Consider the following 25,472-nt stretch of genomic DNA (forward strand, 5'->3'; position numbering starts at 1 on the left):
GGCAGCCGTGCGGGCATCCGTGTCAGAGTGCTGTGTGCCGGGCGACTCTCAGGGCGGCCGTGTGGGCATCCGTGTCAGAGTGCTGTGTGCCGGGCAACGCTCAGGGCGGCCGTGTGGGCATCCGTGTCAGAGTGCTGTGTGCCGGGCGACGCTCAGGGCGGCTGTGTGAGCATCCGTGTCAGGTGGGCTGCTGGATGCTGGGGGGTCACTGACTCACCCCTAGGGCTGAGGGCGGGTGGGTTACTGGCCTCCACATGGGTGTGACAACCTGGCAGTGAGGGATGGTCATGCAGACATGTGTTGGGCATGGAGCATCCGTGGTGGTGGAAGCCCTCCCATGCCGGGCCGCGGGGCAGGGCTCTGGGAGAGGACGCAGGATCCCTCCCTGCATGTCTGTCTGCAGATCAGCTTCACCTGCCCCCACCCTGGCAGTTCAATCTACTGTCATTAGACCCACCTGCCCTCACCCTGGCCTGCACCCTTCAATCTACTGTTATTAGACCCACGGGGTTTCTTGGTGATTAAACGTGTGTGTTGCTCTCTGCACATCCAAGAACTGCAGAAAGAGGTTTTTCTCATTCCTGTGATAGATGAAAGTGCAATTTTTAAAAACAGTGAAACTATTCCTGCACAAGAGAACTGTGACTGGATTCTGCCAGGGAGGAGCTGTGACCAGCAGGGCAGAGACATGGGAGGGAAGAGCCGGCGTCACCTCCAGGCCTCCTGCGCCCGAGAGGAGGGAAGAGCCGGTGTCACCTCCAGGCCTCCTGCACCCGAGGGGAGGAAGAGCCGGCGTCACTGGCCACAGGTGAGGAGGAGACTGGGTTGCCCAAGTAGGGTATGCAGGTCCATTCAAACGCACCCAGGGATGACTCATCCCCGCCAGCTGCTCTGGCAAGGCCGGGGGTCTCAGAGCTGGGGGCTGCAGCAAGCACACCAGCTCTCTGCTCCCGAGAGATCGTCCACAGGCCCCATCAAGATCCCTGGTCACCATAAAATTTAACTTCATAACTTATTGATAATAAATTATAAACAAAAGCCTCCTAATTTACACGCTTGTTGACTACTGAGTGCTTGGTGCAGTGAGTACGGCTGCTGCTGTACCAAAAACCACACAGATGAGAATCACTGTATAGGTGAGAACTGTGACTGCCCCTGATTTCTAGAGGCAGCAACTGAAGCTCAGGAGTGCTTGCGACTCAGCTGTCTCAGGCTGCAGAGCCCTCCTCGTAACCTTGCAGAGTACAATTTCGTCTTAGTGACTCCCCTGTATTCCAGCTCTTCCCCGGTGGAACAGGTCACCCCATCAACACACGCTTCATTAATACCCGGGGGAAGGTCCTGAGGGACTGAATGGATTATGAAGGAAAAACAAGCAGGAAAGCGAAAGGGGAAGAGACCAGGCAGAGGACGCCCCAGCACTAAAGTGAAAGATCCCTGATGGGCAGGGGCGGCGCGACCGGGCTCCCAAGACCGGGTCCTGATCTGGGTTTTCGTGTAGCATGGTCACGTGTGGAGACCGGGGCTCCGGGGCTGTGGGCTGGGCTGACGCTGCCATGCGTGGGGGAAAGGGTGGCAAATTGTGGCCTTGGCCTCTTCTGAACTTTCCAGTTCAGTTACTTTTCAAAAAGGTGCTTAGCCTTCCTTTTCAGGCCAACTTTAGTGTGACCTCTTCATCTTGGGACGCGGTGGGTGGCTTGTTACGGGGGCAGGTGTCACAAGGAGGGAGATGGTCTGTTTCTTTCAGTCAGGGGGTGGAGGAAAAGGACTTCAACCTCTTCTCAGAACAAATGTTCTCTTAACGTTGCGCCTCATGCCAGTTCACTGTTTTAATAATAAAAAAAAGCTAAAACCATTGAAAGAAAAATAAGTAAACACATAAAGAACCGAAGGCCCTGAGCGCTGAAGGATGTGTAAGGACCCCCGGGGCTCTTCGAGGGGTTTCTGGGGATTGTGGGTGTCCTGGGAACTAAGATGCCTACTCTCGGAGTGGGGGAAGGAAGGATACAGCTTTCTGTCCCAGATTCCAAAGACTGAGGAACAACTGGGTTGTGCCCACTCAGAGAGATGCAGGGAGACCATGCCCGTCCATCCACCCACTCATGCTTGTCGGGCACCAGCCACATGCACGGTGCTGGGGCAGCCGGATGTGTCCGTTGGAGCCTGACCCCAGCGTCTCCTGTTAGTGCATCTCATTGTAGAGACGCTTCCTGGACAGGCATTGGCAAGGATGAGCACCTCAGTGCAGCCAGGACAAGTCCTTATCACAGACATTTGCCTCTGATCATCCTGTAAAAAGACTGTGTTCATTTTTGGGGGTTCCTAGTCCTGGGATTTTGCTTCCACCTTCAGGAAATGCACCTGGTGACTCTGCTGAGATCTTGCTAAGAACTCCTATCGCCATGATGAACACCTTGTCGTGGGGACGACTCTGTGAAAGGTTCCAGCTCTGTCTCCTGCCACAGCCTCTGAACTGGGATGTGAACCTTTCGGTGTCTGGCCATTATCACCCTGATGGTGAACTGGGCAGCCTTAAATTTCAATATTGAAGGGTCAATCACTGGAAACTATATAGACAAGTAGACGTCAGCATAGGTAACAATTGTGAACCTTTCGGTGTCTGGCCATTATCACCCTGATGGTGAACTGGGCAGCCTTAAATTTCAATATTGAAGGGTCAATCGCTGGAAACTATATAGACAAGTAGACGTCAGCATAGGTAACAATAGTTCCACCCTTGTCTCAGGTCATTCTTGCCTTGCTTTAAAGAAATACTTGAGGCTGGGTAATTTATAAAGAAAAGAGGTTTAATTGGCTCACGGTTCTGCAGGCTTTATAGGCACCATGGTGCCAGCAACTGTACAGCTTCCGGGGAGGCCTCCAGAAGCTTACAGTCTGGGCAGAAGGTGAAGGAGGAGAAAGAGAGAGCAGGAGGTGCTAGCCACATAAAACAGCCAGGTCTCTGAGAACTCAGCCTCTTGAGGACAGCACAAGGTGCTGCTAAACCATTCATGAGAAATCCACCCCCATGATCCAGTCGCCTCCACCAGACCCTGCCTTCAATACTGGGGATTACAATTCAACATGAGATTTGGGCAGGGACAAAAACGCCAATTATATCACCCCTTGAGGCCCTTGTTTTCTGTTTAATTATCTTGAAGATTCAGGGACTCTTAAGGCACGACAGGATCTTAGAAACCCAACCTTTTCCTTTTGAACACGAGGAAACTGAAGTCTGGAATAAAGTGGCTCGTCTGAGTTTCAGCAGCAGGTTCTAACAAGCTCTATTCTGTTCTTCCAGGATGGCACTCTCTACCTCACCTCATGACCGTGGTCCTTGAATCCCAAGTTTTCAGAAGACTCAGATAGAGAGGGGCTGCTCAAAGCTCTGGGCTGGAACCCAGAATGGCAGCCGTGGACTGGGTGGGAAATTTACAGCAGTTTGCAGATGTAGACCCCACCCTGCTCCTCAGGACTTCAACACACCCACCCAGCCTATGCAGGCTTATGAGCTGTGAAGAAATTACATCAAGATTAGATGTCTTCTCAGCTGATTTTTTTAATTTTTAATTTTGTTTTAATTACATTAAAATTTTTAATTTTTTTATTTTATAGAGACAGGGTCTCACTATATGGCCCAGGGTGGTCTTGAATTCCTGGGCTCAAACAGTCTTCCCACTTTGGCCTCCCAAAGTGCTGAGGTTACAGGTATGAGCCACGATGCCTGGCCTCAGCTGAATTTTAAGTCCATTGTTATTCAAGTTTTTCTAACTTAATTTTATGAGCTTATTAATTAGTTCAATATGAAAGTCTGCTGCAGACAATCTAGAGCATTTCTATACCCCACTTTATTTTATGAATACAGATGCATTGCTTCCAAATGAGATATTCGAAAATAAAATTCAGTCCTGTATCAAAAATAGAATACACTGTATTCATGTTTGTTGTGTGACAAATTGCCCTAAACCTTAGTGGGTTAAACAGTAGATGGTTATCTCCTGGTATCTGTGGGTCAGGAATCGTGGCATGAGCTCTGCAGTGTAGGGTCTCCCTCAAGGCTGTCAGGAATCAGCTGAGACTGCAGTCATCTCAAGGCTCAACTGGGGCAGAAGTTGCTTACGAGCTCGCTCAGTGGCTTGGCAGGGGTTGTTGGGGTTCCCCAAGGCTGTTCTCCTGAGGGCCGCGGGTCCCGACTGGCTGTTTGCTGGAGGCTTCTCCTGAGGGCCGCGGGTCCTCACTGGCTGTTCTCCTGAGGGCCGCGGGTCCTGGCTGGCTGTTCTCCTGAGGGCCGCGGGTCCTGGCTGGCTGTTCTCCTGAGGGCCGCGGGTCCTGGCTGGCTGTTCTCCTGAGGGCCGCGGGTCCTGGCTGGCTGTTCTCCTGAGGGCCGCGGGTCCTGGCTGGCTGTTCTCCTGAGGGCCGCGGGTCCTGGCTGGCTGCCTGAGGGCCGTGGGTCCTGGCTGGCTGTTTGCTGGAGGCTTCGCCTGAGGGCCGCGGGTCCTGGCTGGCTGTTCGCCTGAGGGCCGCGGGTCCTGACTGGCTGTTTGCTGGAGGCTTCTCCTGAGGGCCGCGGGTCCTCACTGGCTGTTCTCCTGAGGGCCACGGGTCCTGGCTGGCTGTTCTCCTGAGGGCCGTGGGTCCTGGCTGGCTGTTTGCTGGAGGCTTCTCCTGAGGGCCGCGGGTCCTCACTGGCTGTTCTCCTGAGGGCCACGGGTCCTGGCTGGCTGTTCTCCTGAGGGCCGCGGGTCCTGGCTGGCTGTTCTCCTGAGGGCCGCGGGTCCTGGCTGGCTGTTCTCCTGAGGGCCGTGGGTCCTGGCTGGCTGTTTGCTGGAGGCTTCGCCTGAGGGCCGCGGGCCCTCGCTGGCTGTTTGCTGGAGGCTCTCCTGAGGGTGGCTCACAGCACAGCAGCAGGCTTCATCAACATGAAAGGGCGGAAGAGGCTGAGACTGAGAGTGTGTACCTGTAAGCAGGAGAGAGTCTAGGATGGAAGTCTCAGTCTTTTATAACCTAATCTCAGAAGTGACATTCATCACTTTTGTTATAATCTATTTGTTAGAAGCAAGTCACTAGGCTCAGCCCACGCACAAGGGGAGAGAACAAAAGGGAGTGAATACCAGGAGGTGGGATCATTAGGAGCCACTTCAGAAGCTGCCGATCACGTGTACTCTGATCAAGTTAGGTTTATTCTGGGAATGGGTTAGGGTGGTTCAATAATGGATTATCAACAAAAGCGTCACATCAATAATTTGTAAAGACTTAAATCATCATATCAATATATGTTGAAAAGACACATAATACAACTTAACAGCCATTCCTAATTAGAAAAAAAAAAAACTCTAAGTAAAATGGGAACAGAACGAGACTACTTAAATGTAACAAAAACCAACCAACAAACCCCCTTTCAGTTAAATTTAGGAGCTAGACAGGGATGCCTTAATTACTATTATTTAACATTGTGTTGGAGATTATAGAAAATGCAACATAAGAAAACAAAACGAAATGTGTGGTATACAATTGGAAAAGGAAACATAAAACTACCTCTTTTGTGCTGATGACATGAATGTATATCTGGAAAACCCAAGAGATACTAATAACAAACTGCTAAAATTAATGAAGAATTTGGTTAGGTGGCTGGATACAAAATAGCTGTATAAAAACCAATAGCTTAAAAACAAAACAGTCCAACAAACAAAGAAATAGCTTTCTTTCAACAAAGATGCCAAGAACACCCAATGGGGAAAGGCAGTCTGTTCAATAAATGGTGTTGAGAAAACTGTATCCATGTATAGAAGAATGAGAGTGAACCCGTATCTCACATCTTTACCAGAATCAACACAAAATGGATTAAAGATGTAACTGGAAGACCTGAAACTATCAAACTACTAGAAGAAAATATAGGGAAAAGGCTCCATGACATTATAAGGGCAGTGATTTATTGGATATGACCCCAAAGGCTCAGGCAATGAAAGCAAAAACAGACAAATGGAATTACATGAAACTAAAAAGCATCTTCACCACAAAGAAAACAATTAATAGAGTGAAGCTGCAACCCACAGACTGAGAAAAAATATTTGCAAATTGTATATTGCATAAGGGGCTACTTTTCAAAATATATAAAGAACTCAAATTACTTAATAACAAAAATAAAAACCCTATTAAAAGCAAGGGACTTCAATAGACATTTCTCAAAAGAAGACATACAAATGGCCAACAGATACATGAAAAAATGCTCAACATTTCTAATCATTAGAGAAATGCAAGTTAAAACCACAGTGAGATATCTCCTCATACCTGTTAGATTGGCTATGATAAACAAGATAAAAGATAAGTGTTGGCTAAGATGTGAAGAAAAGGGAACCCTGGTACACTGTTGGTGGTATTGTAAATTAGTATAGCCATTTTGGAAAACAGTATGGAGGTTAGTAAAAAAAACTAAAACTAGACTTATTTGATTCAGCAACTCTGCTACTAGGTATACACCCAAAGGAATTGAAATCATTTGTGGAAGAGGCATCTGCGTTCCCATGTTCATTGCCATGTTATTCACAATAGCCAAGATATGGAAACAACCGAAGTGTCCATCAACAGGTGAACGGATTTTTAAAATGTGGTATACATACACAATGGAATACTATTTAGCCTTAAAAAACAGGAAATTCTGTCACTTGTAATAACATGAATACATCTGGAGGACATTAAGTTAAGTGAAATAAGCCAGGTATGGAGAGAGAAAATACTGTATGATCTTACTTATATGTGGAATTTTTAAAAAGTCAAACTCATAGAAGTAGAGAGTAGACTGGTGGTTACCAGAGGCTGGGTGGGGCTGGGTATGAGGAGAATGTGGATGAGGAAGGGGAGATACTTGTCAATGGTGCAAAGTTGCAGTTAGCAGGAGTGTGTTCTGGTGTTCTGTTGTACGGCATGGTGGCCAGAGTTGACAATCATGTATTATACATTTGCAAATAGTAAAAGGGAGGATTTTAAATGTTCTCAACACAAAGAAATGATAAATATTTGAGGTGATGACTATACTATTTAGTGTGATTTGATCATTCCACAATGTATACATGTACCAAAACATTACATTGACCCCATAAATATACACTATTATTATTTGTCAATTAAAAAATAAAATCACACCTAGCTTCATCATAGTCAAACTGCCGAAAACAAAATGTAAAGAGAAAATTTTGAAAGCAGCCAGGGGACAATGATAGAACAACCACTAACTTCTCCTCAGAGACAATGGCGGCCAGAAAACAGTGGAATGCTATGTTTAAAGTGCTGGGAGAACAAAACAAAAAACTGTCAACCCGGTGTTCTGTATCAGGAGAAAATATTATTCAAGAATGAAAACAAAATAAAAACTGCAAGCAATATAAATCCTACCAATGGGAGAATGGTTGAAAAATAATAGTACATCCACGACATAGATATGTACTATTAAGCTCCCATTAAAAAGCATGAGTTAGGACTATGTCAGTTGACACAGAAGGGGTAAAAAATAGTTTTACAAAAATAGGATGACAAAATCTAATATATTTGTCTATCTTTGTGTGTGTGTGTGTGTGTTTATATTTGAGTGGCACGCCAAGGGGGAAGGTGGGTCAGTCTCTCCCAGGTGTTGACCATAATTGGATAAATTGTAAAGTGTTTAAAAACGATAGTAAAAATGGCTAGAAGTTGGCCTGCTTTTTGTCATCAGCATACATTCTAAACATGTCAGTGATATGATACTGTCCCCTACAGTGATGGAAGGCCTCTCTGTTCGCTCTCTAGGCAAGCCACTATGTATTTGTACGTGGTTTATATAAACATGAAGACGAGCATGGAAGGGCATACAATTGGTTGTTAGCCCAGGTGACCTGGAAGGGGTTGGGGTTGGCATGGTGGAGGGAAAGTTGGATCGGGAAGCAAAAATGGAAGAGGAAGCAAAATGGACGTCACTAAAATCCTGAACAGTATCATGATATAATGATGTATACACAGTTCCCGAAGCTTACATACATGTGCATATAAAGGGAAATTTTAAAAAGAAAATTAAAAGAAAAAGCCCCAGATTCCCTTCTCAGAAAACCACAATTTCCCATTGAATTCTGATGGGTTAGATACCCCTAAAGGTCACGTGTGGCTCCACCCCGGAGTTGAGCATATCTGCTGTAGACCTTGGATTTGTCTGGTCTACAATGTGATGTCTTCTAATCTGAGGAACAGTTTTCCCATCTGCATAAGGGCACCTGCCTCACAGAGCAGCTTTGGGTCTCGTAAACGGACGGCACATGTGAGTTTACTGCCAGGCAGTCCTCAGTCTGTGCACGTCACAGTCCACTTTGGAACTCCTAAGAATGCTGTCTCCTCCCACCCTAGACGTCCTCACACAGAATCTGTGAGGGGCTGGCCTAGGCAGAATTATCTTTTAAAAACTTTGCATATGAGGTGCTTGATAAAAGCTAGTTGGATTTGAATTTGGCCACAGCTCAGATAATCTGGGGAACTGGGGTGTCTGCTAAGGATATGTGACCATCTGCTGGTGTAAACCTTTCAGATGATGGGGAAGCCGGGCATCACGGAGAGCTGAGAAGACTCGCTTGTTCACACTTACTCGAAAGCAGGTGCGCCTCCCAATTTCTCTGTGTTTTTAGAAATCTCTCATTCTTTCTTCAGTCTCCCTTTCCCCACCCTGCCTATTTTCTCTCTTTCTCTCTCCACTTAATCTTTTCTTTTTTCCTTTTCCTTATTCCTCATCTTAACAGGTCCTAAGTGTGTGTTGTATGTATTTAAAAAGTTTTCGTCTCTGTTTTTAATTAAAAGAAGAAGAGCTTACTCCTGTTTCCAAACCCCTGCACGTGATACTCAAGGAGCTGGTGATGGTGCTTGCTGGGCTTATGAAGTGCAGCTGTGTCCTCTCTTGCTCTGTAACACCCTCTCTGCCAGAAACAGCTCAGCAGGAAGGCAGCGGGGCACCTTGGAAACGTGCCCCTGGGCCCCACCTTACAGCCTCTGCTCCGCTCCCTTCGCGGCAGAGTGGTTCAGGAACAGTCTGCAGCCTCCTGCCAGGAGGCCAGGAAAAGCCACTCCTGGCCCTGGGCAGCTATGAGGCTCTTGGTGGATCTCAGAACTCTGTGGGGGCCAGAGGGCTGAGTGAGTCAGGCTGTGGAGGGCAGGCACCATCCACACTCCCAGACACTTTGGGTTATAGTCTCTCTCTTCCTTGATTAGAAGAGGCCTGGGAACTTCAGCTGGCGACTCTGGTGTTTCTGACTTTGGCTATCAGCAAACACTGCTGGAGGCTCTGCCCCGTCCACACCCAGCTTCTGTGAGCACGGAGGAGGCATAATCTGCAAAGTCTGACACAGGCCATGCCTAACCATCCTTGACTGGCTACCTCCAGTGACATAAAACTGAGAAGCAAAGACACCCAGGAGGCAAGGCTGCAGTCATTTAGGAGAGTGGACGGATGCCAGGGCTGTGCTGCCTGCAGCCTTTGTGGGGCTCAGTGACCAGAGGAGCAGCCCATGCCAAGCCTAGTCCCCAGGGATGCTGCCTGCGGTGCTCACGCATCTTATACAGGGACACAGAGGAACTCTGGGCTCCACCCTGCAGCCTCTGCTCCAGCACGCGGTGGTCCCAGGAGATGTAGAACCAGCCCTTCCTCTGCAGTTGCACTGGGTAAGTGATGCTGTGGGCTGTTATCCATCAGAAATACACCGCCCACTGCTCCACCAGTCAAAGTTACGCCTACTCTGGAATTTGCTCTCTTAGCCATTTGCTTGGTTTAGGAAAAGCCTAAGCTTCTGCCCCCCCGATTCACCACAGAAGCCCTCTATTATCACTCCTGTTACGTGTAAAGGCTGAGTTATTGCTAACTCTCAACAGGTCCTAGAATCCTTTATGTGCATTCGGGGGACTGGGGGAGGCCCTGGACACTGTGCCAGGTGCTGTGTCTCAAGGTTCACTGGACCTGACAGGGAGATTGGGAACAAAGGCCCTGAGAGATGTGGGGAGCAGCCTTTGTGTCTGAGCTGTCACTCAGCTCTTTGCTTTATGCCACTGGCGTACCTGCTGGAGGAACTCCATGTGGAGGAAGGCTGGGCCCTGTGGGGGGCATTCGAGGGGGACACTCTGGCCAGCCTCAGGCTGGGTCCACCTAGGGGGAGGAGGGGACAAGCCACCTCATGGATGTTGTACACAGTGGCCCAAAAGTGACCTTAAAAATGGATTTAAGGAATAAATCCAAATCCAAATATAAGACATAAGCCATCTGAAGAAACAGCCTTGGTGATTGTCTTTGAACCTCCAGACTGTGGGGTGACTTGCCTCATACAGGCTGATATGGAAGTGCTTATCTCAGTAACTTCACTGTGCTCTGTCTGAAGAGAAGATGTTTCGCGGCTGAGTGGCCCGCATTGCATCTTATAAAAGCGGAGCCCAGGGAGACCGAATCTGGCTCGTGTCTCTAGCATTGCTTGAGAGTGGGGACATTTTGGCCCCAGACACAGGATTCTGACCTGTGTGGGAGGCACGTCCCTGTGTTGGAGGTGGGTGCCCCCAGCTTCTACATATTAATGATGTCCCTGTTAGGGTTACTTTGCCCATCCCCTTGGCACTGATTCTGTTAATTTTCTGATTGTAACTTAAGGATTGTGGTTTTGGTGTGGCATCTAAGATTTCTTGTCTAATATAAGGTCACAAAGATTTTTTTTCCTGTATTTTCTTTTAAAAGTTGTGGAGATTTAGCTATTATGTTTCAGTCTGTATTAGTCCATTTTCACACTGCTGATATAGACATACCTGAGACTGGGTAATTTATAAAGAGAAAGAAGTTTAATGGACTCAGTTCTATTTGGCTGGGGCAGCCTCACAATCATGGTGGAAGGCAAAAGGCACGTCTTACATGGCAGCAGACAAGAGAGAGCTCGTTCAGGGAACTCCCATGTATCAGATCTTGTGAGACTTATTCACCGTCGTAAGAACAGCATGGGAAAGACTCACCCTCATGATTCAGTCACCTTCCACCAGGTCCCTCCCATGACAGGTTGGAACTATGGGAGCTACAATTTGAGATTTGGGTGGGGACATGCCCAAACCACATCAAGGTCTATGATACCTTTTGAGTTATTTTGTGTGTATGGTGTGAGGAAAGGTTCTATATCCACCTTTCTTGCATCTGGACATCCAGTTTTCCCAGCATTATTTGTTAAAAGACTATCATTTTCCCCATTGAACTGCCTTGGTACCTTTGTTGAAAATCAGTTTACTGTAAATGTAAGGATTTATTTCTGGGCTCTCAGTTCTGTTCCATTAATCTATAAGTCCATTCTTAATACCGTTTCCACACTGTCTTGATTACTGTGGCTTTGTAGTAAGGGTTGAAATTAGGAAATGTAAGTCTTACAACTTTGTTTTTCTATTCCAAATTGTTTTGGTATTCTGGATCCTTTGCAGTTTCATATAAATTTTAGGACTGTCTTGTTATTTTCTGCAAAAAGAGCCTGCTGGGATTTCAGCATGGATCATATTGAGTTTGCAGACTGATGTGGGGAGAATAGCTATTTAACAACATTGAATCCATGGACATTGGCTGTCTCTCCATTTATTCAGATCTTCTTTAAAGTCTCTCAGCAAGTTTTGTACTTGCTTTGTTAAATTTAACTTACCTTTTTTCACATTTTGATGCTACTATGAATAGAATTATTTTCTTAATTTTCCTACTCATGGCTATTATAGAGCTACAATTGATGGCATGTAGAAATATAGTTGATTTTTGAAATTGTGTATCCTGTCATCTGGCTAAACTTGTTTCTTAGTTTCAGTTGTACTTTTGGTGGATTTCTTAGAATTTTGTGCAAAAAGATAACTGCAAAGAGCTTTACTTCTCTTTTTAGCAATACAGATGCCTTCATTTTATTGGTTACCTTGCTGCATTGGCTAGAACCTCAAGTACAATGTTGAATAGAGGTGATGAGGGTGGGCATACTGTCCTCATTCTTGATCTTAGAGGAAAACATTTTAATCAATCTTTCACCATTAGGTATTATGTTAGCTATAGGTTTTACCCAGATGCCCTTTGTCAAATTGAGGAATTTTCTTTTCCATTTGTAGTTTGTGGAGATATTTTATTATGAAAGAGTGTTGGATATTTTCAAATGCTTTTTCTGAGTCTATTGAGATAATCATGTGGTTTTTGTTCTTTATTCTGTGGTTACTGTATTCCATTAGTTAAGTATTGGATGTTAAACCAATGTTTGGATATAAATCCTCCTTTGTTAATATTTTGTTAAGGATTTTTGTATCTATATTCATGACAGATATGGGGCTGTGCTTTGCTTTTCTTGTGATGTCTTTGGCTAGGATGTAAGGACAATACTGATCTCATCAGGTGAATTGACAGGTATTTCTTTCCTCCTCTGTTTTCTTGAACAGTTTGTAAAGGATTGGTATTATTTCTTTTGTTAATATTTGCTAGAATTCACCAATGAAGCCATCTGGCTTTTCCTTATAGGATGATTTTAATTATTCAATGTCTTTACTATTTATAAGTCTATTCACATACTCTGTCTTCTTGAGTCAGATTTGGTAATTTGTGTATTTCTTCGAATTTGTCCATCTCATGTAAGATGTCTAATTTACTGGCATAAAGTTGTTAATATTATTGTTTTATAACCCTTTTAACATGTGCAGGATCCATAGTGATTCTCCCTTCTTGGTTTTAGTCTCTCCTGGTTTTAGTCACTTGTGCCCCATCTTTTTACCCCACTGTAAAAGGACGGGAGGGGTAAACAGATTTTTATTTCACATCCCAGCCCTCGCCCTGGGCCCTGTTGTTTGACCCCCAGCATCCCCTGTGGTTGCTCATCTGACTCAGGCTTCCCAGTCACACGTGATGACATGGTGACCCCCGCAGCACAGTGGCTAGCACTAGAAAGGGGCTCAGTAAATGTTAGCTTCTTGTCTGTGTTCGCCTTCCTTGACTCTGGGTCTACCAGGAGTTTGGCAAACTCCCCCCGTGGTCTGGACAGGAAAGCCCCAAGCATCTCTCTGGACTGGGGTGTGGTCGTGTCACAGAGGCATCCTCCCCACCACATACAGACAAATGCTCAGCAGTGCTGACGTCCAGATGCTTCAACACAGGGCTGCCCTCCACCCTGCTTCCTGCACAGAATGAGGATTGGAGGGGGCTGCGGCTGGAGTGTGGGTGACGGGATGGTCACTGTTGGGGGCACGAGCCGGGAGTTGGTGCCAGGTGAGGGTGCAGGAGGGGCCTGGGTCAGGAGCCCGGGTACGGGCCAGGGCCAGTTGCCACTCAGGTGTTCTGTGCCTTTGTCCTGTGCTGGCCCTGAGGCACGCTGGACGTGGGGCCCAGTGCACCCTTGCTGACTCCAGCTCCTAGCATGGGAGTAAGAGGGCCAGTCAGACCTGGGAAAGGGCCACCGACTGGTCCTCATAGCTTTGCTTTTCCACTTTCCTGTCCCTTAAAGAGCCACACAGAAAATGGTATCTGAATCAAGTACAATCTCATTACAGATGCGTCTGGCCTGGAAACACACCCGCCAACTGTGCTGATTGGCTGGAACCATGCAGGCTTTGGCTTTTGTGCTCCTTGTTAACATTTTTGTTCCTATCTACACTAATTAGTCATAAACAGAGGGACAAAAACTCCCCAAATATGGGAGATGCTAATGGCCTGTTAGGAGGCCTCGCCTGCAGAGCTCATCTCATTCCTTTTGCAAGAGCAGAAGTTGTGCTTTAGTTTAGAAACAAGGAATGTGGATCTTGTCTGGGCATTGAGTTTTCGGGTACTCCAAGCTTTCAGAGCTGCCGCAGAAGATTTTCGGGGGTCTTGCTGGCTCTGTGACAAGCCGCCGGAGTCTTGCTCAGTGCTGAAGGCACACCCCAACATGGCCATCACCGGCAGGCCTGTCCAGCCCTGTCCTCATAGCTTGGTGCTGTCCTTGCCATAGTGAGTGAGTTCTCATGGATCTGGTTGTGTAGAAGTGTGGCACCTCCCTCCCCCTTGCTCCCACTCCTGACATGTGGGATGCCTGCTCCCCCCTCACCTCCTGCCATGACTGCAAATTCCTGAGGCCTCCCCAGAAGCAGATGCAGGTGCCATGCTTCCTGTACAGCCTGCAGAACCATGAGCCAGTTAAACCTTTTCTCTTATAAATTACACAGCCTCAGGTATGTATGCAAGAGCAGCCTGACGCAGCCAGCCAGTGCATCCTCCACCAGGGCCACCTCCACTCCTCACCGCAGCTGCTCCTCATGGTATCTCCAGCATGAGTCAGGGCTCCCCACAGGCCCATGTGCGATGATGGAGCTGTGAGGAGCCTCGTGGTTTTCCAGGCTCACTCTCCACGGGCCTCCTGGTCTCATGTCCTGCTCAGTCCTCCCTCCCCTGGTGGAGCAGCGTCTCATGCTGGGACTTTCTGGCTCCATTTCAGGGTCTCTCCTTCCCTGCTGGTGGCCCAGCTCCAGAGACTCAGAGGAACTCAGATGGGGTGCACGGGCGTCCTCTCAGGCCTGTGCCCAGGGAAGTCTAGGTGTGAGCCGAACAGAGCCCCTGGGACCAAATGGCCCGCGACCGCCCCCTTCAAGGACCGTGGTGGAACCCGCTTGGTGTAGCTCTGTGCCCCTCAACAGACTGCCACGAAATCCTAAGACCTTGAGAGCTTGGGTTCTGCCTCGTTTCTCCTGGAGCTGCCTTACAGAACCATTCCCTTTGTTCTGGAATCTACTTTACTCCCTTCCTTCTCTCCTGTGAACTCCATTGCTGTGGTTTAGGACAATCCCTCCTGTAGACATCAAGGAGGATGATAAGAGTATGACACATTGTCCTCAGACAGAGTGGGTGCAGCCCAGCTCCCAACCCCAGGCTCCCAGGAGCAGGGGCCCCCTTCAACCTGAAGGCAACAGAAGGGAGTGTTTCTCTCAGAACAGGGAAGGTGGGGATGGCTGTGGCTGCACAGGGACCTGGTGCCATGGAGGTTCAGAAGATGACTTTGAAGACAGTCACTGCAGCCCTCACCTTGTGGCCTGGGAGACCATGTCTGGGATAGGCCACGGTCCGCAGGGATGGCCTCATCCACACAGCAGCATCCGTGCAAGTCTAGGCCCTTTCCACACTGCATTGCTTCTCTCGTATTCATTTTTCTATAAATAATATGTAATCATGTTAAGAAAATGAAAACAGCATGAAGTGCATGAAATGTGCAGTGCAAGCTCGTATTCCCTCCCGCCATCCTCAGTCTGGCTTTCTTTTTCCGTTTTTCTTTTTGTTTTGTTTTGTTTTTTAAACAGGATCGCAGCCTGCCACCCAGGTTGGAGTGCAGTGGTGCAATCAGCTCACTGTAGCCTCGACCTCCTGGGCTCAAGTGATCCTCCCATCTCAGCTTCCCGGGTAGGTAGGACTACAGGTGCACTCCCTCATGTCTGGTTAAATTTGTTTATGTTTTATTTTTACTTTTTGCAGAGACAAGGTCTTGCTGTGTTGCTCGGGCTGTGCCTGAAGCGATCCTCCTGCCTCCGCCTCCCAAAGGGCTGGGATTACAGGCGTGAGCCCCCACACCCAGCTGGACGTCAACCCAGCTTTTTGCACCCCCATATGCATGTTTCTCTGTTGGAGCTTTTGTTTCTTATGGCAGAATCATCAAGTCTCCTCATAATCCCTGCTTTCTGTGGCATGTCTTCCTACCAAACTCCTTCTTTCCCTCCCCGTGGACCTTCGTGTGATGCTCTGTGTTGTTTCTTCAATGAGGCCTGTTCCTCGGCGCAGCCCCCTTCAAAGCTGTCGGTCTGCCGGCCTCTGCGGTCGAGGCTGAGCCGCTGTTCTCGCCAGGACAGACGTGGTGGGTGTGCAGCTCTGGGCGTCCGAGCTCCCTTCTGGGCCGGCAGTGAAGGAAGTCGCCACAGCACACTGTTGAACTTCACACACCAAGACAGCAGCCCCGAGGCGCTCACCCAGCCCACAGGGCGAGGAGGGAAAATACAACGGGAACAATCATGTGCAGTGTTTCTGGAATCTGAAAGCCGTTGGCTTAAGACACAGGCTTCCGTGTGCAAAAGTTGAGCTGTGTATTTTCATGAGACCAAAGACACATCGACGTCGTCAGGCATCGGGGGCTCCCTGCAGCTCAGTGTGAGGTTCACTGACCTGGGCCCGTTCTGTGATGATTCCTTGTTTACATTCTGACCCGGACCTCCAACATTCCTCAAATTGTTGGGAACCAGGGAGTGAGATCGGCACGAAGTTCAAACCCTCCCCTGCTGTCTGCACAGCCACCAGCCTTGTTGCTGGAACATGCTGGGGATTTTATGCAGGAACTGCGGGTGGCAGGGAGACAGTGGGCAGAAGGAGCTGGTGACCTTGGCGAAAACGGAACCTCACCCTCCCATGGGCAGCTGGGGCTCTGGGCCCTGCAGGGTCAAGGGGAGGATGCGTCTGCCGCCTTCCCCCACAGGCGGCCAAGGACCGTCCGCACACCCTCTACCCCAGAGAAAACTCGGGTGTAGGAAGCAGGCGACTGTGAGGTCAGCTGCGTCTCTCTCTGGCCTGGGTCCCAGGGCCGGAGCCTCTGTCCTGGTCCTGGGTGTCCCCCCGCTGCCCGCTTTGGGCTGCCCTGGACTCAGGCAGCCCTGCTGGTAAAGTGCCCGAGGAGGTGAATGTGCTGCTGGGCCGGAGTTCTGGTCGGGAAATCTCAGTGGGAACAGAGGCTGAGGACGCACAAAGGGTCCCAGCAGCCAGAAAGGACGGGGAGCAAGGGGAGCCCGGGACGGGCCGTGGGAGAAGACACCTGGAGCGAACTCACGGGGTGACAGCTGACGCTGCCTGGGGGCAGGAGAGGGAGATGGTCCAGGGCCCCAGGCCTCAGGCTCGAACCAGGCAGGAGACCCACGCGTGCAAGACAGGCAGATGGGGCCCGGTAGAGAGGGGTCGCGAACTCACGGGGTGACAGCGGACGCTGTCTGGGGGCAGGAGAGGGAGATGGTCCAGGGCCTCAGGCTTGAACCAGGCAGGAGACCCACGCGTGCAACGCAGGCCGATGGGGCCCGGTAGAGAGGGGTCGCGAACTCACGGAGTGACAGCGGACGCTGCCTGGGGGCAGGAGAGGGAGATGGTCCAGGGCCCCAGGCCTCAGGCTCGAACCAGGCAGGAGACCCACGCGTGCAAGGCAGGCCGATGGGGCCCGGTAGAGAGGGGTCGCTCGGGGCACAGAGCTCGGAGCAGGGCGGCCGTGGGGCTCCGCTCACAGGGAGAGGCACAGGGTCGAGTGAGGAACCCTTCCTGCCGCAGCCAGGCTGGCCGTGGAGATGGGCCGAGAATGGGGAGGGCGTCCCCAGCAGGGCATTCGGGGTCAGGAGGCGCCCGTGGGCGGCAACACCGTGGGCTGGAGGCACCGCGTCTGGCAAAGGGAAGGCCCCAGTCCGGCGGCTTCACGGCCCACCGCGGTGTCCGGGTTGAGGCGGGGGCCGCGCGCATCCTCGGGGGGGGACAGTCGGCCCCGGGCGAGGGGCTACCCCTCAGGCCCCCGTCCCCGAAAGGCCACGGGTGTGGGGACTCGAGCCTGGCCTCGGATCTCAGGCTTGGACGGAACCTAGTGAGGACCTGACACCGTGGGGGCGGCCTGTGGTCCCCGTCCGTGGCCAGGCATCCCCCGTTCACCCATCAGCTGCCTGAGCTCCGCCACCTCATGGCCGGGTGCTTTGGCACCCGGGATACTTCACTGAAAAGAGACTTTTTCCACTGTGGCCGAGAACGAGGGATTTAAAAAACGTCAAAGCCAAACCCCGTCTATGAGCAGCTGTCGTGTCCGCTCCGCTGGCCTCGTGCCCGGCCACGCCACCATCACTTTCCAAAAGTGTCGCTGCGGAAGGCTCACTGGGAGGACAAATGTCGGCCCCACCCGCAGTTTCTCTGTTCCCTATTTTCTCACCACTTCTTGTTAATTTGGGGCTGCTGCTTCCTTTGGCCCCTGCTCAGGCTCTGGATTCTGGGCTTAGTCCTGTGGGCAGTTCTGTGAGCTTATGATTAAATACCTGATATTATTAAATACTCAGGAGCATGTGTGAGAGCCGCTGGCCCTGGTGCCCGGGTTACAGCTGTGTGGGGACGTCGGTGCTGCCTGCCTCCTGCCCCGCTGGGGGGAGGGAGCCCCCCCAACCTATGCTGCAGGTGTGACACCATGGAGGCCAGCCCCTGGCGCCGGTGACGTCTCGGGGTGACAGGCAGGACCCCCTTGTCCTGCCTCCTTCCCGGATGTCTGATTTGGCCGGGATTTGAGGCTGTGGGGGCCACCGCCTCCTGAGGCACGAGGCATTCCTGTGGCAAGGGGCGGCAGGGAGACCTTGCTGTCACCACCGTGGCTGGTCTGTCAGTCGGGGAACTTGGGAACCCCAGAATCCTGCAGGCCGAAGGGACCTTGCCCTCGAGAGGGGGTGAGGAAACGAGGCTGAGACGACCTTTGCCAGTGCCCTTGGGGGGCGAAGCGGGATCTGGCCTTGGCGTCTGCCCTTTTCAAGGGTCCTCCCTGCACGCCTGGCGCCTGTCCCTCCCCACAGTGGGGAGCAGGGGAGCCCCACTCTACGTCCCCCGTTTACTGTCCCCACGCCCCCTTCCCAGTCGAGCTGTCCATCTCCTTCATAAGAAAAGACTCTTCCACCCAAGAAACTCCCCAGCAGCTGCCTCAGGCCTTCCCGTCACGGCCCTCACTGCTCCCCAAGTAAAGTGGGGGCTGTGGGTCAGGAAGGGCCCCAGCTTGGGTCCGAGTGGGGTCCCCGTGGGTCCCCTGCACCCCTCATGATATGTGTGGGGTGGGAAGGGGCCTTCCAGGGCCTCTGGGACCCAATCCAGGAACTTGTTCTCAGAGAGTCACCAGCCAAGTCTCCTGGGCTTTTCTCCGCTGCTCCCACAGAGCCCTGGGCCTGGGAGGGTGGGACCACCCAGGAAGGGGACAATTCTGGGCCCCGGGATGCCCCCCCGCTCTGGGGACAAGGGGATGGTTTGTTAAAATCCCACTCCCGCTCTGTTGTGAAAGATGATTCTTGTCTTCCTGCACCACTCGGCCTGTCCTGAGGCTGCCGCCATTTCCCAGTCAAGCCCTGACCTCCTTCACAAGAAAAACCTCTCCCAGCCGAGAAACTCTCAGCCCCCAGGAGCTCACCAAGTTCCCAGGCACCTGTTCCAGGGCCCCAGCTCAGTACTTCCATGGGAGAGCAGGTTAGAAAGCCTGGAACATCCCAGCTCCACCTCCCACATACCCTCAGACCCTGGGTGAGAGTGGGGTCCCTGGCTCTACTCCCTACACACCCTCAGACCTCAGGTGACAGTGGGGTTCCCAGCTCTACTCCTGACAGACCCCCAGACCCCCAGTGACAGTGGGGTCCCCAGCTCCACCTCCCCATAGACCCTCAGACCTCATATGACAGGGGGTCCCCAGCTCCACCTCCCCATAGACCCTCAGACCTCATATGACAGGGGGGTCCCCAGCTCCACCTCCCACAGATCCTCAGACCCTGGGTGACAGTGGGGTCCCCAGCTCCACCTCCCCATAGACCCTGAGACCCCGGGTGACAGTGGGGTTGTTGCTGGTCCCACTTCCCACAGACCCTGGACCTCCTCAGGAAGGCATCCGGTGGTTGTATTGACCCCGGGTGTGAGAGCCCACGTGAAACGGAAGTTGAGCCAACCTTCCATTGTTCCCTCACCTGGCCCTGCCCCAGCTCAGACCTGAGCCAGCGGGTAGGTGCCCACCGCCAGTCCCAGGCAGAGGTTCCTCCGGTGCTCACAGCAGCCCTTGGCCCCATCCCGGCTCTTTCTGTTTGGGAATCTGGTGAGTATAAAGTGGCCTTGCTTGCGGTTTACTTTGAGTTTCCCTGACTGTAAGTAGAACTTGCCATCCTCACGCATCCCCGAGAGTGCCTGCCTGTGCCCTCCGGCGGGGCCACCTCTCGCTTTCTGAGTCACGGCTCCCTGTGGCTCCCGACATGAACCTCATCAGCTGTGTGTGCTGCAGATGTTTCCTCCCAGTTCATGCCCTGCCTTTGCCCTTGTCTTTTGTCTTCTGATGGTAGATTTGGACGTAGGACGTGCGTCAGCCTTGTCTTTCACAATTTTCCTCGTTTGTATCTGAACAAACCCTTCCTGGCCTCGAGTGTGGGAGATATTCTCCTGTAGCTTTTACTTCCATCATCTTGCCCCCATCACAAGTCCTCATCCATCTGGAAGCAATTTCCTTGTGTTTGGTTGAAGATAGGGATCCAGTTTCGCTTTCCTAATGTGCGTGGCCAGTCCCTGGCACCGTGCGCAGGCCTGCACCTCACCTCTGTCGGGCCCAGGCCTTCTCTGTGTGCCGGGCTGTTTCTGGGCTCTGTGGTCGGCTCCACTGGCCGCATGCCTGTCCCTGCACCACTGCCCCCACATGCCAACCCTGTGGCTTGGTTGTTGGTCTCAGCGTGCTCCTGGGAAACTCTCCTGCCTTGCCCTTCAGTGACTCACTCGCTCCAGTAATCAAACACCTACTGTGTGTCAAGAAAAGTGTCACTGACAAAAGCATCTGCCTTCTTGAAGCCCATTCAAATGCAGTTATGTCTATGTTGGAGAGAGACAGACTTTGTGATGGAAGGTTCTCTGGACAATGGTAATCGAGCATGACAGTGAGTGGCAGCTGCTGTTTAGATGGAATTGTCAGGGAGGCTCAATGAGAAGTAGGCATCTGAGCAAAACTCAAAGGAAAGGAGAGAGTGAGCCATGGACGTCCTGACAATTCCACTTATGATACTTTTCCTCCTCCCCGAGGTCAGGATGGTCCCTACCTCTGCCGGTCTTGCATGTTGTTTTAACGTATGTGAGTGGAACCCCTTGTTCTCATGCCGCAGCCCATTGTGTGAATAGGCTACACTATACCTGTCTGTTCGATTGTTGATGGCTATTTGGGTTGCTTAGTTTATGGCCATTTTGAATATGCTGCCATGGCTGGGTGAACATACGCGTTTCCGCTGGGTGTGTATCTAGGGCTGTGATTGCTGAGTCAGAGTGTGTGTCTGTTCAACTTTTGTCGGTAACGCCAAACCGTCTTTCTGAGTGGTTATGGATTCATGCTCCACCAGAGGAGAGAGTTCCCACTGCTCCTCATCCTTGGCAACTCTTGATTTTACCAGTAGTTTAAATTTTAGCCACGTTGGTGGGTGTGGAGTGGTGTCTCATTGAGGCTAATTTTCACCTCCCTGATAACTAAAGATACTGGTCCCTATTTCATGTGTTTATTGGTCATTCATACGTCTTTTGTAAACTTTCTATATATTTTGCTCATTTGTTGAATTGAGTTGCTTATAAAAATTATGTATTTGTTTATTTTTTGAGATGGAGTGTCCCTCTGTCGCCCAGGCTGGAGTGCAATGGTGCGATCTCGGCTCGCTGCAACCTCCGCCTCTCGGGTTCAGGCGATTCTCGTGCCTCAGCCTCCCGAGTAGCTGGGATTACAGGCAATAAAAATTATTTTGAATTGCAAGTGTTCTGTATATATTCTGGGTACAGGTCCTTTGTCCGATACATGTATTGCAAATATTCTCTTCAGTCTGTCTTTTTAAAAATTTTCTTAATAGTTCTTTTTGAAAAACAAAGGCTTTTAATTTTGAAGTATAATTTATTAACATTTTCTTTTCACTTGATGATTTGTGTCCTGCTAAAAAACCTTTGCGAACACCAAAGTCACAAAGATTTTCTCCTATGTTGTCTTTTAGTAGTTTCATGGTTTTAACTTTAACTTTTAGCTCCATGATCCCTTTTGACTGAATTTTTACGTATGGTATGAGGTAAGACTTGAGACTGTCCTTTCCACATTGAATTACCTTGGCACTGTATAAAATTGGCTGTATGTATATATACGTATATATACATATATACGTATATATACATATATATACACATATACACATATATACATATATACATATATATACACATATATATATTGGGCTGTGCACAGTGGCTCACGCCTATAATCCCAGCACTTTGGGAGCCTGAGGTGGGCAGATCACCTGAGGTCAGGAGTTCGAGACCAGCCTGACCAACATGGTGTGGTGGTGGACACCTGTAGTCCCAGCTACTTGGGAGGCTGGGGTAGGAGAATATATATATATATAGGTCTGTTTCTGGACTCTCTGTGCTGTTCTGTGATCTACATGCTTATCCTAACACTAGTACTCTACTATTTGCTGCTTTATTGTATGTATTGAAATTAAGTAGTGTAAATCCTCCAAATTTGTTCTTTTTCAAAATTGTTTTGGCTATCCCAGGTCCTTTGCCTTCCCATATAAATTTTAGAATCTGTTTTAGAATCAATTTTTACAAAAACAAATGCCTGCTAGGATTTTGATAGGGATTGAGTCTAATCTATAGATGAATTTGAAAGAAAAGACATCTTAACAATATTGAGTCTTCTAAGCCATAAACGTGGTATGTCTTTCCATTAATTTAGTTCTTCTTAATTTCTCTCAGCAATGTTTTATAGTTTTTGGTATACAGGCCCCACACACATTTTGTTAAATTTATCCCTAAGTATATCATGCTTCTGGATGCTTTTGTAAATATTTGTTTTTGTTTGTTACTTATTTTCATTTTCCAATTGTGCTGATATACAGAAATACAGCTAATTTTTGTATAGTTTTATATTCCGTGACCTTGTTAAGTTCACTTACTCGTTTTAGTAGTTTTCTTAGATACATATTTTAGGATTGTGTATGAATAGAATCATGTTACCTATGAATAAAGACAGTTAACTTCTTTTCCAATCTGTATGACTTTCATTTCATTTCTTGGTTTATGGCAGTGTCTAGACCAATCTCTGCCTTTTTTTTTTTTTTTTTTGTTTTGAGACAGAGTTTCGCTCTTGTCACCCAGGCTGGAGTGCAGTGGTGCAATCTTGGCTCACTGCAACCTCCGCCTCCCGAGTTCAAACGATTCTCCTACCCTCAGCCTCCCAAGTAGCTGGGACTATAGGTGTCCACCACCACGCCCAGCTAATTTTTTTGTATTTTTAGTAGAGACAGGGTCATGTTGGTCAGGCTGATCTTGAACTCCTGACCTCAGGTGATCTGCCCGCCTCAGCCTCCCAAAGTGCTGGGATTACAGGCATGAGCCACCGTGCACGGCCCAATCTCTCTGCGTTTTTAATGGGAGTATTTGGTCCATTTTCATTTAATATAATTACTGAAAGTTGGGACTGAGTCTTCCATCTTATTGTTTCATTTATTGTTTATTCCTCCTTTTTTCTTTTCCGCTTTTTTTTTCTTTGGGTATACTGAGTATTTTTCCGTCTTATCTCTTCTGTTGGCTCATCAGCTATGCCTCTTTCTTTAATGCTTTTAGTGCTTTCTTTAGGGTTTAAGGCACGCCTCTGTAATTTAATAACATTTCCTTTAAATGCTACTATACTACTTGACTTATAATGTAAGACTCTTCAATAGTATGCTTCCATTTTCTCCCTGAAATCCTTTTTGCTATTATTGTCATACATCTACTTCTATATGTGTTATAATTCTCCATAATAAATTGTGATTATTTTTGCTTTAAAGAGACACATTTATGACAAAGACATTAAAAATGAGAAAAGGGGCTTTTGTATTTGCCACATATTTACTGGTGCCAGTGTTCCTCGTTACTCGGAACAGACCCAGTTCCTCTCTGGAATCATTTTCCTTCAGCATAAAGAACACTTCCATCTCTTGTCTTGTACATCTGCTGGTGACAAGTGCTCTCAATTTTTGTTTGTCTGAAAATGCTATAATTTTATCACCTCATTTTTGAAAGATTTTTGCTGAGTCTTGGATTCTATGTTGACTGTTGTATTTTTTCCCCAGAACCTTCTATTACAGGTGTTCTGCCATTGGGTTCTGCCTTTCCTTGTTTCTGGTAATAACTCAGCAGTATTTCTTATCGTCGCGTCTTGCCAAGGTCTGTTTGCTGTGATTGGTCAGACCGCATCTCCTAGCCTGTGGGGCTCTGGGCGTCGTTCAGATGACAGCTCCCACTAAGTGCTCTTTGCCTGCCCGCACGGGGTCTCCCATATGTGCGGCTTAATGTTCAGCCAAAGGCACAAGGGGACCACCAGGACCACCATGTAGATTTCTGGGGTTCTTTCTCCACATGGTTTTTCCATCTCTGGTACTTCGCCCATACTTTTCAGGAGCCTTGGCCTCTCTGAGCTCTGGCACCTGTCTTCCGAGCTCAGTTAAACTGTTTTGCTCTCCTTGAGCTCCTCTCCCTGTGCTGGGGCCAGAAAGCGCCTCCAGGAAGAACGCCGCGGTGTCGTAGGGTTCACCTTGCTTGCTGTCTTTGTCTCGGAGATCACAGCTCTGTCTGTTGTCTATTGTCTTAGAACAAATGTTTCCTATTTTTTTCCTCCAGTTTATAATGTTTGTGGTAGGAGGGATAGTCTCATACCAGATACTCTGTTGTAGCCAAAAGTGGGAGTCTTTTCTTCATGTTTCTTCATTTCACGTTACTATATTCCTTCTCACTGAGTGTCTGTTCTGCATTCTGGGTAACTTATTTAGATCTATCTTCAAGTTCAATAATTCTCTTTTTATTTTTGCCCACTCTGCTGCTTAGTTCATCTAAGAGTTTAGCATTTTAATTATTATACACACCATCTCTAATCTTGTCTGAACCACTGACACTCAATTACTTGATAACTCTTCAGTCATTTGCGTCTCCTAGCTAACTGCTTCCCTAAATCCTTGCACCCTCTACCCAAAAGCTACCCCTCACTCTGAGCAAGGACCTCACCATCTCCTTGACATCCAGGAAAACCAAGGACATTAACATGGGACTTCTCTCCACAGTGTTCCACAGGACTTGCACTCCTGGTCCCCTTCTCCGTATGTCTCCTTCTGTCCCCGAACCTTCTGCCGGTGCTCCTGACACTGGCCCTCAGGCCTCACTCCTGGGTGCTCAGCCCCTGTCTGAGTTGATTCCTCTCTTCAGCTTCAGAGGCCTTCCCTGTCCCTCCAAGACTGCCTGAGCTTCTCTCCTCTGTGGGGCTTCCCATGCCTCCGGTGTGCCTTGAGTGAGACACCCCCTCATATGTCTGCTTTCACCTCACCCTAACCAGTCCCTCTATCTAGCTCCTGCTGCTGGCTCTGCTGCTGGCTCTGCTCTCCCCCAGACTGCCAACAGACCCCTGCAGCTTTTCACCTGTGTTATCTGTAAACTTTCTTCACTCTTTCTTCTTCTAGGAACTCTTCTCACCTCGGCTTTCATGACTGTCAGTGCCCCGTCCACTTTGCTGTGGCCTTTTCTTTCTCAATGTGCCTTGAAGTCTTCAGGTTGGGGGAGATGCTGCCTGGGGCATGTGGGGGAGGGCGGGCCTAAACGGAGAAGGGGGCTGAGCAGAGACAGGAGGGGTGGTTGTGAGGGTGGCAGGAGGCTGTGGGATTGAAGGAAGGGGGCTGGCGTGGGCTGGGGCCCAGGGAAG

General features: G+C 49.3%; 1 long non-coding RNA gene across 1 annotated transcript in view, besides 2 other annotated features; it reads left to right on the forward strand.

Annotated features, from left to right (window-relative positions):
• Window positions 1–7,847: 7,847 nt before the first annotated feature.
• The window catches only part of LOC101929650 (uncharacterized), a 71,977-nt gene continuing 54,352 nt past the window's right edge, over window positions 7,848–25,472 (forward strand). Inside the window, exons 1-2 of the long non-coding RNA XR_243528.4 lie at window positions 7,848–8,612; window positions 9,220–9,669. This is a non-coding gene — a long non-coding RNA (uncharacterized LOC101929650). The remainder of the gene's footprint in view (window positions 8,613–9,219; window positions 9,670–25,472) is intronic.
• Window positions 15,870–16,385: an enhancer, noted in NCBI's record as "H3K4me1 hESC enhancer chr17:81099229-81099744 (GRCh37/hg19 assembly coordinates)". NCBI's record gives its function as "activates a minimal SCP1, AML or CMV promoter by ChIP-STARR-seq in primed H9 embryonic stem cells {active_cell/tissue: H9 hESC(primed)}" and the evidence as "EXISTENCE:reporter gene assay evidence [ECO:0000049][PMID:30033119]".
• Window positions 16,386–16,901: an enhancer, noted in NCBI's record as "H3K4me1 hESC enhancer chr17:81099745-81100260 (GRCh37/hg19 assembly coordinates)". NCBI's record gives its function as "activates a minimal SCP1, AML or CMV promoter by ChIP-STARR-seq in primed H9 embryonic stem cells {active_cell/tissue: H9 hESC(primed)}" and the evidence as "EXISTENCE:reporter gene assay evidence [ECO:0000049][PMID:30033119]".

Source organism: Homo sapiens, chromosome 17 (genome assembly GCF_000001405.40).
Source record: "Homo sapiens chromosome 17, GRCh38.p14 Primary Assembly".
Lineage (NCBI taxonomy): Eukaryota > Metazoa > Chordata > Mammalia > Primates > Hominidae > Homo > Homo sapiens.